General features: G+C 42.1%; 1 long non-coding RNA gene across 2 annotated transcripts; it reads left to right on the top strand.

The window, feature by feature from the left end:
- Positions 1-1,919: 1,919 nt before the first annotated feature.
- Positions 1,920-10,788, top strand: LOC105379039 (uncharacterized). 2 transcript variants are annotated; one of them, XR_001742748.2, is made up of 4 exons: positions 1,920-2,050; positions 4,075-4,168; positions 4,771-4,897; positions 10,559-10,788. It is a non-coding gene; the product is annotated as an uncharacterized LOC105379039 (long non-coding RNA). The 2 variants fall into 2 exon arrangements; XR_001742747.2 differs by lacking the exon at positions 1,920-2,050 and having other exon boundaries at positions 4,023-4,168.
- Positions 10,789-14,716: the final 3,928 nt, after the last annotated feature.

Genomic DNA, 14,716 nt, shown 5'->3' with positions numbered 1-14,716 from the left:
AAAACAAAAAAACACAATTATACCTAAGCACATGGAGGTCCTTATCTCAGCCTACTGAAGTTATACATCAACCAGAGAGATTTTTTTAGCTGAGACTCAGAATTTGATTTTTTCATAAGTCACTACTGAGACATTATGAGCCTATAAATAGGGCTTTCTACCTTAAAAGGACTGGTCGTGGGCTTACACATTCTCTGGATTGAAGTCACACATTAGCTCTTCTTCTGTCTGATTTGAATCTGCTATTTCATTTTAACTTTACTTCACATAGGTTATAACTTGCTATTTGCTCCTTGTTTAGATGTTACCTTTGTGGCTTTCTTAAGATATTGTAATTGTCTTTCTGCATGGCTCAAAAGTTATTTTAATGGCATTGCATAGGATTCTTCCCACATGTATATTATTCTTATTACACCTCTCTGAACTTGATCATTCAGTATCTTTTCTTTTTTTTCTTCCTATTTTTTAGGTCACAATTCATATTGATATTTAAATGGCATCTGGATGCTGCATATTGCATATTAGAAACAAAAAAAATTGGTAAAATCCCAATACGAAGAGAGAGAACAAAACAAGCAGAAAAATTAACCTGATGGAAGCAAATAAGAACAAAAGAAAACAAAACCTATAAGCAAATAATACCATGGGAAAATAACAGAAGTTTTTGCATCCATAAACCAAGGATATGGTGCCTCACGCCTGTAATCCCAGCACTTTAGGAGGCCGAGGCGGGCAGATCACCTGAGGTCAGGAGTTCGAGAGCAGTCTGGCCATCATGGTGAAACCCTGTCTCTACTGAAAATACAAAAATTAGCTGGGCATAGTGGCGGGTGCCTGTAGTCCCAGCTACTCGGGAGTCTGAGGCAGGAGAATCACTTGAATGCAGGAGGCAGAGGTTGCAGTGACCTGAGATCACACCACTGCACTCCAGCCTGGGCAACAGAGTGAGACTCAGTCTAAAATAAAAAATAAAAAATAAAGCCAAGAAAGAACACTTGGAAATTTAAACTTAGGGAAGCTGAAATTGAACATTTTAGTCAAAGAGCTGGGAAGCCATTTATCTTCCAGTAAATGGGGAAAAAATAGAGATAAAGAAACAGAACAGGGCTGGGCGCAGTGGCTCATGCCTGTAATCCCAGCACTTTGGGAGGCCGAGATGGGCAGATCACTGGAGTTCAAGAGTTCGAGACCAGCCTGGCCAGCATGGTGAAGCCCCGTCTCTACTAAAAATACAAAAATTAGCCGGGCGTGGTTGCACACATATGTAATCCCAGCTAGTCGGTAAGCTGAGGCAGGAGAATCACTTGAACCTGGGAGGCGGAGGTTGCAGTAAGCTGAGATCATGCCACTGCACTTTGGCCTGGGCGACAGAGCGAGACTCTGTATCCAAAGAATAAAAAATAAAAAACAGAACAGAAAGGAGATGAATGTAGAGGATCAATCCAGAAGATCAAGAATTATAGAAAGAGAAAAGAAAAAAAGGAAAGACAGAAATATTTTCAAGGCAAAATACAAGAAAATTTCCCAGAGGGATGCAGACTCTCCACATTGAAAGGCCCTTCTAAGTGTCTAATATCGTGAATATTTCAGGACATCAGGAATAAAAAGGCAATTGTAAAACTCTGCAGAGCAACCAATCATATTATGGTTATTTTTTCGCAAAGAACAGGCCTTTTTACAGTGAGATATCATGATGGATTTTATTCAAAACAGCAGGATGGGGCAGGGCTTGTCTGCAGGAGTTTAAGTGATACAAAATTGGCCATGTATTCATGTTTGAATCTGCGTGATGAGAACATGGGAATTCATTAAACTATTCTGTATCTGTATATGTTTGAAATTTGCCATAATAAAAAGTAAAACAAAAGGAAACAAAAACGCAAATGCTTTTTTTTTTTTTTTTTTTTTTTTTTTTTTTAGCATTTTAGACTACATACATAACATTGGAGAAAGTGTTGGAATTATGGCCGGAGGACAGAATTTAGAGTCCTGGCTCTGTCCCGTCCTAACTACAACTTTACACAAGGCGCATCATTTCTCTGGATGTCAGGTACCTTCTTTGTATTACAGGGGTATTAAACTAGGGGACACTGAGGGTCCCTCCCAGCTCCACTGGTCCATAATACAGTCAATTTGAACACTGTCAACTGAGACTACCATTATTTTCTTTTCTTTTTTTTTTCTTTTTCTTTTTTTTTTTTTTTTTTTTTGAGACACAGTTTCGCTCTGTCACCCAGGCTGGAGTGTAGTGGCGCGATCTCGGCTCACTGCAAGCTCCGCCTCCCGGGTTCACGCCATTCTCCTGCCTCAGACTCCGGAGTAGCTGGGACTACAGGCGCCCGCGACCACGCCCGGCTAATTTTTTGTGTTTTTAGTAGAGACGGGGTTTCACCGTGTTAGCCAGGATGGTCTCGATCTTCTGACCTCGTGATCCACCCGCCTCGGCCTCCCAAAGTGCTGGGATTACAGGCGTGAGCCACCGTGCCCGGCGAGACTACCATTATTTTCTAAGAAAGCGCTCTCACCTCTAAAATAACAAAATAACAAGAAGCAGAGTGCCATAAGACTTCTCAACACAACTGGATAGTGGAAGATAGTGGAGTACTGCCCTTAAAATTACCCAGCCAAACCATGAATCAAGTATGTGGGTGGACCAAACCAAGGAAAAGAATTCACTGGATCCAGAAAAAGGAGCCCCAACAGAAAAGAAACAGTGTGGTAGTACAGAAGATCTCAGGGTGACAGCTTGTGCACTAGGGCTTTGCAGCACCTGGTCCAGGCTGCAGCAGTGGGAAAGGCACTGTGGGAGGGAGGACTCCAAGAAAATATGGAAACGATCAATTACCTAATATGCTTCAGCATGGTGGGGGAAAAAAACCCTCAAAAATTGACAGAGCAGATGGACCACTTCAGGAAACATTAAAGATAGGTACATGGAATACATAATGTCTTAAACTATTAATTCCAGAAAAAATAAAAATTTGTACAAGATAAAATATACAACGAATAGGATCATCACCAAACCATAGTTACATTGACATTACATATTTACATATTACACGGACCACTGATTTATCCAAGATTTTTTTAAACTGTGGGAAAAGAGGAGGAGAAGTAGAGGGTAGTAATATAACAGACAAAGTGATCCATCCACCTAATAGGAAATTAGTAGTTTCAAGTTGATAAGTCAAGAAATAATATAAGTATACTACTTAGAAATATGAAAGTTAATGTCAGGGTTTTTTGGGTTTTTTTTGTTTTTTTTTGTTTTTTTTTTTAAGCTAAGTTAGTTCAAAATAGTTGCCTCCAGGAATAGAGGACAGATATTTCCTTTTCTTTTTTTTCTTTTTTTTTTTTTTTTGAGACAGTCTTCCTCTGTGACCAGGCTGGAGTGCAGTAGCATGATCTTGGCTCACTGTAACCTCCGCCTCCTGGGTTCAAGCCATTCTCCTGGCTCTGACTCCCAAGTAGCTGGGATTACAGGCGCCCACCACCACATCCAGCTATTTTTTGTATTTTTAGTAGACACGGAGTTTCACCATGTTGCCCAGGATGGTCTCGATCTTCAAGGACAGATATCATTAACGCCTCTCAGTACTATTTTGAGCACCTAGTATATGCCATGCATATAACTCCCTCTCCCCAAGACCCCAATCATCAGAACCAGCCCACTCCCAAGGAGACATACGGCGATCCTTTTGATCGCCTCCCCCAGGACCCTGCCCCATCCATTACTGCTTCTCTCAGTTTCATCATCAGTCAATCTCTCCCTCTCTACTGGCTTCTTTCCCTTTGCTTATAACCGTGTCCAAGAACTTCCAGCTTGGCAACAGACTAGCCAAGTTTGGCTTCATTCCCTGGATTCTGATCTCATTTCTTGGCGCAGAGTATTGTTGGAATGCTATCTACTGCTAATGAGCCCTCTTTGGGCACAGCTCCAGGACCTCCCACATATGGGTACTTGTTGGGTACTCTGTATACCACAGCTTAGGGCATATAAAGCCAGGCCTACCTGCAGCAATGGGCATTAGGAGTCAGAAGTACAATAACTGTGGAAATAACTTCAAACAATAGAGAAAGAAGAAGGAAGAGTCAAGCATAACACCAAAGGATAGCAGGGCCATTATTGACATTGGAATCTCAGGAGCAGAGGCATTTGGTGAGGGAGGTAAGTAAGATGATAAATTTGGTTTTAAACAAATTGTATGTGAAGCTTATAGAACTGGTAGTAATCAGGACAAAGTGGGCAAATTAATCACAATCCAGGATCAGTGAAATACAATAGGAAAGGCTTTGGGGTTAATGGATACTAGATTCACAGTCTGGCTCTGCCAGTTACTAACTGAATGACTATTGGCAAGTTACTTAACTTCTCTGTGCCTCAGTTTTCTCATCTGCTTAATGGGGATTGTATACTGAATAGAAAGCAGGCATGATGAATTTGAGATATCACCAGGGAAAAGCCACTTGGATCAGAAAGAACAATCTGACTACAGTGTGAAGAGTAGATTAGAGATATCAAAAGTGCAGTTCAGTATCCTGGTTGCAATAGGGCAGAAGACCAAGGATGACAGGCTCAAGGGGTACTTGAGGGAGGGACAATTAGAGAATAGAGAAAAATGGATGATTTAGGAAATGTATGGGATATAGAGCTAGTAGGATAATGTGATTTATAGGATTGGGGTTTGTGTAACAGAAGTGTATTAATGCTCCACTTTTGTGCTTTTGGATCCCTTTACCAATTTCATGCCATGTTTTCACTTCCAACAGCCAATATCTGCAAGGAGATCCAGAAATGCCTAGGGTTTACATCTCCCTGGCAAGGGCCCTACAAATGACTCCTGGTACAGAAGTTTAAAGTCTCCAGCTTCCTTGCCCCAGTCCAGACCGCTCTGAGGTATGACTGTCTCCAGAATTGCTCTGTGGGATTGAGCCTACCTTATCCTCTATGGGATTTTGTTTGCTCTTGAACACTTGCTTGGCTTCCTTCCTTCCCTGTCTCTCTTCCCTGATTCCTTATTGTTTTTTCCTCAAAACACTTCCGAATAAATTGCTCTCACATGAATCTTCATCTTAGGGTCTACTTCTGGGGAGTCCATCCTGAGTGTAGTAGTCAATAATGCTGCTTATTAATTTTTCTATTGGACACCTGGTAGTGTTATACTTTCTGACCTCCTGTGGTTGGGTGGTTGAGCCAGTTATTAACAGCTCTAGCAGAGGTAATATGTGTCACTTCTAGGCTAAGCATCAAATTGCCAACAGGAAACCCTTTGGAACTCTTTTCTGACTCTTGTGGTAAACAAAAATGTTGCAGATTGTGGCTGCTCCATCATCCTGGATCCTAGAGTTGGTTTGAGAGTGGAGCAGAGCGTCTGCTCTAACTCAGTAGTTAGGATGAGAAATAAACTTCTGTTGTGTTAAGCCATTGAGAGTTGGGGCTGTTTGTTACTGCAGCATAACCTAGCAAATCCTGACAGACACAGAGCATGAGAAAAAGAGAAGGATTAAGGATGACTAAGAATTCTTGGGGAGTGGGGAGGGATAGCTTTAGGAGATATACCTAATGCTAAATGACGAGTTAATGGGTGCAGCACACCAGCATGGCACATGTATACATATGTAACTAACCTGCATATTGTGCACATGTACCCTAAAACTTAAAGTATAATAATAATAAAATAAAAATAAATAAATAAATAAATAAATAAAATAAAAAGAATTATTGGCTGGGTGTGGTGGCTCACACCTGTAATCCCAGCATTTTGGGAGAATGAGGCGGGTGGATCACCTGAGGTCAGGAGTTCAAGACCAGCCTGACCAACCCCCATCTCTACTAAAAATACAAAAATTAACCCGGCTTGGTGGCATGCACCTGTAATCTCAGCTACTTGGGAGGCTGAGGCAGGAGAATTGCTTGAACCCAGGAGGCAGAGGTTGCAGTGAGCTGGGATTGTGCCACTGCACTCCAGCCTGGATGACAGAGCAAGACTCCATCTCAAAAAAAAAAAAAATTGTAATCCCCAATATCTGAGGCGGGGCCTGGTGGGAGAGGTGATCCCCAATGTTGGAGGTGGGGCCTATTGGGAGGTGATTGGATCATGCGGGGGAATTTTGCATGAATGGCTTAGCACCATTCCCTTGGTACTGCCCTTGCAACAGTGAGTGAGTTCTTATGAGATGTGGTTGTTTACAAGTGTGTAGCACCTCCCCCTTTACTCTCTTGCTTCTGCTTCTGCCATGTAAGACACCTGCTCTTCTTTTGCCTTCTGCCAGGAGTAAAAGCTCCCTGAGGCCTCTCCAGAAGTAGATGCTGCAAGCTTCTTGCACAGCCTGCAGAACCATGAGCCAATTAAACCTCTTTTGTTTATAAATTCCCCAGTCTCAGATTTTCTTTATAGCAATGCGAGAATGGACTAATACAGTAATCTTCCTGGAATATATATTATTTGGGCTAAATTTCTGATATAAATTGAATGACAGAAAATTCCATATATATTCTCTGAGGAGGGTTTGGTGTGCAAGCATTTTTCTTTGTAAATCCCAAGAAGGTGGCAAAGTAGACAACTAATCATGAAAGCTAAAATTCTTAAAATTTATGGCTAAGCAGAAACTACTGGAGCTCTGGAGACAAATCCCTGAGGTATCTAGGCAAAGCAGGACTTCTCTTCAGGAAGGAGCTTTGGAACTTCCATAGCATTTATTTCAGGTATCAAAGTTGTCCTGTGAAGTTTTGTGGCTTATAGCCCGTCTTGATCTCTCTGTGTTTCAACAGGGTTGCTCTGTATCTGCCAACAATTCCACTGAATAGTGACTGCTACCACTTTTGTAGCCATGAAATTTTCCCAACAAGTATTATCATGTCTTCAGTAGAACAGAAGGAAATAATCCACCACTGAGGGTTCTGGAAGTGATTTTCATCACTAAGAGTGACATTGCAAGATGACTACAATACATAGCTAATGTGATGTGTAAGGTTTTATTTCACAGAACAGCAAATCAACTCAGCTCACTGAACAGACGTGGTCTTTGTTAAAGTATTTATATATTTGTTGAAGTCTAGTAAGATTTACAAGAGTAAAAGAAGAATAATTCTGGTATATAAGTAAAATATCAGCATTTGAAAAGATGGGGGCATTTGCAATGCTGGGAAAAAATGGGGGAAGAAAATAACAGAAACAAAAAGGTGGGGCTTGGTGGCCCAGCTACTCAGGAGGTCAAGGCAGGGGGTATCACGTGAGCCCAAGGGTTCAAGACCAGCCTGGGGAATATAGCAAGACCCTGTCTCTATAAAAACATTTTTTTTTTAATTAGCCAAGTGTGATGGTGTGTGCCGGTAGTCCTACCTATGCAGAAGGCTAAGGCAGGGAGATCACTTGAGCCAAAGAGTTTGAGGCTGCTGTGAGCTATAACTGCATCACTGCACTCCAGTCTGGGTGATAGAGCAAGACCCTGTCTCTAAGAAAAAAAGCACATACAGAAATAGAAATTTAAAATTTGAATACCATACAAGAACCACCAGTATGTGTTCAACAAGACATCATGATTTTAAAAACCCTTGTTTTAGGGAGTTAAACTCAGTGAACAAAAGCATGGCTTTGGTATTCATGATGATATCTAGAAAAGCAATCATCATCCTTTAAAACACTTAGGAAATGATTTAGGTATTCTCCATATTCTCCCAATTATAATAGATTCTAGAGTGTTTGATGGGAAAGTTTTCAATTAGTGAAAACACTTCGTGAATGCGCAAAGCATTGGCCGGGCACGGTGGCTCATGCCTGTAATCCCAGCACTTTGGGAAGTTGAGGCGAGTGGATCACCTGAGGTCAGGAGTTTGAGACCAGCCTAGCCAACATGGTGAAACTCCGTCTCTACTAAAAATACAAAAATTAGTCAGGTGTGGTGGCAGGTGCCTGTAATCCCAGCTACTCAGGAGGCTGAGGCAGGAGAATCGCTGGAACCTGGGAGGCGGAGGTTGCAGTAAGCCAAGATCGTGCCATTGCACTTCAGCCTGGGGAAAAAAGAGTGAGACTTCATCTCAAAAAAAAAAAAAAGAGAATGGGCAAAGCATAGAGTAAATATAAAAAGCCAGTGTTAGATATAAAAAGCATAAGCTATAGAGGAAAATATTTATAAATGTAGGCATTAAAATTTTAATTTCTCTATTTATTAAAAGATACTTTAAAAATAATTAAAACTTCATCCAAAGATGCTGATAATAATACAAGCAAATGTTTATATTGTGTTTTCTAATATGCTAGGTACTGTTATAGGACATTACATACATTGTTTAATAATGTATATAATTTACATACACATTTACAGATGAGAAAATTGAGGAACAGAGAGGTTTTTTTTTTTAAATGAATAAGCAAGCTATGAACCAGGAGAATAAACCCAACACACACACACACACACACACACACACACACACACACACTCTCTCTCTCTCTCTCTCACAATACATACATAGACATATGGAATTCCCACAAAACAATAAATAGAATAAAAATAATCCAGTACAAAAGTGGGCAAAGGATATGAAAATAAGAGGAAATTCAAGTGGCCATAGCCATATAAAAAGATGTGAAATCTCAGTACTAACCAAAGAAATGCAAAGTAGAACAATAATGAGATAGCATTTCCATTGCATCCAATTATCAAACATTTAAGTCTGACAATACCAAGTGTTGGTAAGAATACAGAACAACAAGAACGCTATTTTTTTGTTGTTGTTTTTGTTGTTTTTGTTTGTTTTTTAAACTTACAGCATTTTATTAATTTATTACATAAATGTACAATTGGTAAAACAATTTACTACTAAAATTCAGATTGTTTCTCACTATAATGCAAAATGTTACTCTGAATACCTACTTCATGCATCACTCTAGGTCAACCACAAAAAGCCTCTCTGCTTACATTTTCCTCAGGTGTCTTTCATTTCTGTAACAAGAACACTGTTACACTGTTGGTGGCCGCATAAACTGGTGCAACCACTTTAAAGAACAATTTGACCTTATCTAATAAAGATGAATAGGTTCACACTTTATTATTCAGTAATCCCACTCCTGAACACATACCTTGGGACAATATGAGCTAGGCCAGACGCAGTGGCTCACGCTTACAATCCCACGCTTATAATCTCCATTTTGGGAGGCCAAGGTGGGAAGATCACTTGAGCCCAGGAGGTTAAGGCTGCAGTGAGCCATGATCACCCCACTGTACTTCAGCCTGAGAGACAGAGCAAGACCCTCTCTTGATTTTAAAGAAGAGAAAAAAAAGAAAATATGAGGCTGGGCACAGTGGCTCACGCCTCGAATCCCAGCACTTTAGGAGGCCGAGGCAGACGAATCACCTGAGGTCAGGAGTTTGAGACTAACCTGGCCAATATGGTGAAACTCCATCCCTACTAAAAATCCAAAACTTAGCTGGGTGTGGTGACGCGCCTGTAATCCCAGCTACTTGGGAGGCTGAGATAGGACAGTCGCTTGAACCAGGGAGGTAGAAGTTGCAGTGAGCTGAGATCGCGCCATTGTACTCCAGCCTGGGTGACAAGAGTGAAACTCCGTCTCAAGAAAGAAAATATGAGCTCATGAGCACAAGGAGACATGAATGAAATGCTCATTGAGCATTGTTTATTATGGCTAACTATTGAAAACCATCAATTTCTACCAGTAGAAGATAAATTATAATTGATTTCATATGCTAGGCTAATATATAGCAGTGGAAATTAATGATGTGTACCCATCTACCCCCATCCCCACCCTAACTCTGTGTTTCCTGGGTTTACCAGACCCTTTTCTTCACATGATCTTGCTGTAATCAAGGCAAATACAATTAATTAATGGTTTTCTGTTTATTACATTGGAGTTCTTTCCATATTCTGTCCTTGAGAGTATCCAACACCACTTTCTCCTTTTTTTCTTTTTGAAATTAGAGAATTTCTAAATTATTTACATATTTATACACAATTGCTTGGTTTTCTCCTCCAGAGGGCTAATCGCGTTTATGATATATGTGGTTTGCTGGTGTTATTTTGTGGCAATCTTATTTCTAAATCACTGGGTGGGGAATATCTCACTGTGGTCTCCACATGGAAAAAAACAATGTTGCATGAGCTGAGTTTTGAAAGATGATTAGAGTTTGCCTAGCAGACCATGGTAGGTAAGGGCATTCAAGCTTGAGGGATGAAAATGAGTACAGTCACAGAGATGTGAAACAGCTGGGCTTGTTCAAGGACCTAGGGGCAGTTTATAAAGTTCTCAGTATGACTACAGCAGCATCAAAGCTAAGTCCAAACATGGGGAAGTCAGTCTGGGAGGAGGTGGCTCTGTCTCTGGGTAGTGTGGGAGGGAGCCCATAAAGAAGGCATTGCCCTTTGGCTCCCTCTCTGCATGGTCACAGTCTTGCTTTCATGCTGCTTCCCCTAAGGTCTTTTCATTATCCCTGTAACAGTAGTCTTGTTGACATATTAATCTTGAAAACAACTGCTGAAAGGACTCCACTTTGGAAGAAGGTGCTCAGGAGGAGCATTCTTTCTTTCGTTCCCCCACTGTAGATCCCTCTGAAAAGTGGCCAGAGTGGCTCAAGAGAAGGCTGGAGACAGAGGCAAACAGAGCCCTGACCACATAGGCTTGGCGCAACAGGCAAAGAGCTTGCACTTAACCCGGTAAGTGATGGGAAGTCTGCAAAAGGTTTCAGGCAAGGGAGCACTGCAGTTTTTGAATAAAAACAACACACATTAGAGAGTAAACATGGCTGGGTGCAGCTCTTGCCTGTAATTTCCGCACTTTGGGAGGCTGAGGTGGGAGGAGACGATCACTTGAGCTCAGGAGTTTCAGACCAGGCTGGGCAACATGGCAAAACCCCATCTCTCTAAAAAAAAAAAAAAAGAAGAAGAAGAAAAAAATAGCAAAATTAGCCAGATGTTGTGGTGCATGCCTGTAGTCCCAGCAACTTGGGAGGCTGAGGCAGGAGGATCACCTGAACTTGGGAAGGTTGAGGCTGCAGTGAGCTGCAGTGGAGCCACTGCACTCCAGCCTGGGTGACAGTGTGAGACTGTCTCAAAAAGCGGGGGAAAAGAGTAAACATACCCCACACCCCCGCAACACACAAACATATATGTGAATGTATAAATAAATAGACACAGTATATTAGAGACATTAGATAGGTCCTCCATAAATATATCAAATATATATGTAATTATATACCCAAACAATTGCTTAGTTTATTCCTATGTGATGTGTATATACATGTACATATGTATATGTATATAACCCATATGTATATGTGTAAACCAAAAAGTGACTGAGGCAAATAATTGATTTAGAGGTTTATTTTGTCAAGGTTGAGGACACACCCAGGAAGAAGAAACACAAGTCACAGTAGGATCTGTGTCCTGTGCTTTGTCTTGCAAAACGATAAATAAAAATAACCCAATAGAAAAATGGGCAAAGGATATGAAAAGAAGAGGAAACCCTCAAAAGAGGGTTCGGAGGACTTCAATATTTAAAGCGGAAATAGTGAGCAGGAAGGGAAGGAGGAAAGGGGAAGAAGCGGCAGAGGGTAGGTAATGAGGCAAGCGGTCATATTCTTGTGAGGCCTTTTTTTTTTTAAGCACCCAGTGAATCTACATTTTACATGTGAAAAAAAGGAGTCAGGGAAAAGGCAATTACACATTTGACTTGTGCTCACATCTACAGTTTACATAAGACAAAGTAAGCATGTGAAATTACAGCTATCTGTGAACTAAAGGAAAGCAGTTTTTGTGTGACTCAGGTCCCAAGTTTAACTTTCCCTTTGTCATGGTGAGTTGAGGATCTCAAGATTTTATTTTATGTATACAGATATGTAACATGTATTATATATGTATGTATATAATTTACATACACACTATATATAGAGAGGAACAGAGAGAGAGACACAGAGACAGAGAGATGCATAGATTGGATGGATACCTCTCCAAGTATCAACAGTGGCTCCTACTGTTCCCCAGACTGGGACTCTGCCCCTTCCCAGCTTCTCCACCTTCTGAAATGCTGCTCATTCTTCAAACTGCGTTCAAATCCTGGTTTCTCCATGAAGACTCCCCATTCCCACCCTCTTCACCAGTGTTAATCTCCTCAGTGTTCCCATACACTTCGTTTCTTCCACTTTGGCATTTATTTCTGCCCTGTTTTGTCTCTAATTCTTTGTATCTCTTAACTAGACTGAAACAACTTTGAGGGTAAGAGCCATTTCCCAGCCATTTTTTAAAAATCCCACAGCTCTAGCACAAGGCTTTGCATGTCATTGATTCTCAATAAATAATCATTGAATGAAAGTCATTCAAAGAAACTTTATTTTGAGATAGAAATATTTTTTAAGTTATAATTTCCTTTTACCCTCTGTTGATGTCACCTAACAGAAATCTACAACTTTGTCCTAATTTCATTACACTTAAAGTTTAAAACCTCATAATAACTGCAGGCCAAAAAAATCTTATTTTCCCAAACAGTGTTGTTTGATGTCTTACATATTGGCATCTATATTGTGGAATTTCAACCTTGTCTGCTCATAGTAATCACCTGGACAATTTTTTTTTTAAATACTGTTTCCAGAGGCACGACTTCTGCAAAATCTCAATTCAGATTTTGGATCACTCCGGGTGTGGTGGCTCACGCCTATAATCCCAGCTCTTTGGAAAGCTGAGGCATCACCTAAGGTCACGAGTTTGAGACCAGACTGGCCAACATGGTGAAATCCTGTCTCTACTAAAAATACAAAATTAGGGCCGAGTGTGGGGGCTCACGCCTGTAATCCCAGCACTTTGAGAGGTCGAGGCGGGAGGATCACAAGGTCAAGAGTTCGAGACCAGCCTGGCCAACATGGTGAAACCCCATCTCTACTAAAAATATAAAAATTAGCTGAGCATGGTGGCGGGCGTCTGTAATCCCAGCTACTCAGGAGGCTGAGGCAGGAGAATTGCTTGAACTTGGAGGCAGGGGTTGCAGTGAGCTGAGATCTCAACACTGCACTCCAGCCTGGGGGACAGAGCAAGACTCCATCTTGGGGAAAAAAAAAAATTAGCCGGGCATGGTGGCACACGCCTGTAACCCCAGCTACTCGGGAGGCTGAGGCAGGAGAATTGCTTCAACCTCAGAGGTGGAGGTTACAGTGAGCCGAGATCGCGCCATTGCATTCCAGCCTGGGCAACAAGAGTGAAACTCCGTCTCAAAAAAAGAAAAAAAAAGAAAGATTTTTGGATCAATTATTCTGAGGTACATCCTAAGCTTTTTTTCTGAAACGGAGTCTCACTCTTATCGCCCAGGCTGGAGTACAATGGCGCGATCTTTTTTTTTTTTTTTTTTTGAGACGGAGTCTCGCTCTGTCGCCCAGGCTGGAGTGCAGTGGTACCATCTCGGCTCACTGCAACCTCTGCCTCCCGGGTTCACACCATTCTCCTGCCTCAGCCTCCGGAGTAGCTGGGACTACAGGCGCCCGCCACCACGCCCGGCTAATTTTTTGTATTTTTAGTAGAGACAGGGTTTCACCATGTTAGCCAGGATGGTCTTGATCTCCTGACCTCGTGATCCGCCCGCCTCGGCCTCCCAAAGTGCTGGGATTACAGGCGTGAGCCACCGCGCCCGGCCAATGGCGCGGTCTTGGCTTACTGCAACCTCTGCCTCCGGGGTTCAAGTGATTCTCCTGACTTAGCCTCCTGAGTAGATGAGATTATAGGCGCCTGCCACCACGCTCAGCTAATTTTTTTTTGAGATGGAGTCTCAATCTGTCGCCCAGGCTGGAGTGCAGTGGCGCGATCTCCGCTCACTGCAACCTCTGCCCTGTCACACCGGGTTCAAGCTATTCTCCTGCTAAACCTCCTGAGTAGCTGGGATTATAGGCGCCCACCACCACACTTGGCTAATTTTTGTATTTTTGATAGAGACAGGGTTTCGCCATCTTGGCCATGCTGTACTCGAACTCCTGACCTAAGGTGATCCACCCGCCTCAGCCTCCCAAAATGCTAGGATTACAGGCATGAGCCACTGCACCAGGCCAATTTTCTTTTCTTTTTAGTAGAGATGGCTTTCACCATGTTGACCAGGCTGGTCTTGAACTCCCGACCTCAGGTGATATGCCTGCCTCAGCCTCCCAAAGTGCTGGGATTACAGGAGTGAGCCATGGCGTCCAGCCAAGATATTTATTTATTTATTTATTTGAGATAGGGTATCCCTCTGTCACCCAGGCTGGAGTGCAGTGGTGCGATCATAGCTCACTGCAGCCTCAAAGTCTTGGGGTCATGCCATCTTCCTGCCTCAGCCTCCTGAATGCTGGGACTACAGGCATGTGCCACCAAACCTGGCTATTTTTTTTTTTTTTTTCTGGTGGATACCGGGGGTCTCACTGTGTTGCCAAGGATGGTCTCGAACTCCTTGGCTCAAACAATCTTTCTGCCTTGGCCTCCCAAAGTTCTGGGGTTACAGGCATGTGGAACTGCACCCTGCCCTAGATCCTTACTTTAGAAGTTTCTCAGGTAATATTAGCATGCAGCAGGGTTGAAGTTTTACTGATCTAGTTCATTGACTTATGCTTCATGGGCCATTAATCCTTTACCACAGGGAGATCAAAGACTTTGCAGGAGTTCACTTGAGATCCAATCTCACTTGGCCATCTGGCTGACTCTCTGGGTGCTACTCATTTCCACCAAAATTCTAGCAATGTTAAGCATCTCCCC

This window comes from Homo sapiens, chromosome 5 (genome assembly GCF_000001405.40).
Source record: "Homo sapiens chromosome 5, GRCh38.p14 Primary Assembly".
In the NCBI taxonomy this organism is placed as follows: domain Eukaryota; kingdom Metazoa; phylum Chordata; class Mammalia; order Primates; family Hominidae; genus Homo; species Homo sapiens.
This window is presented reverse-complemented; position numbering and strand designations above follow the sequence as displayed.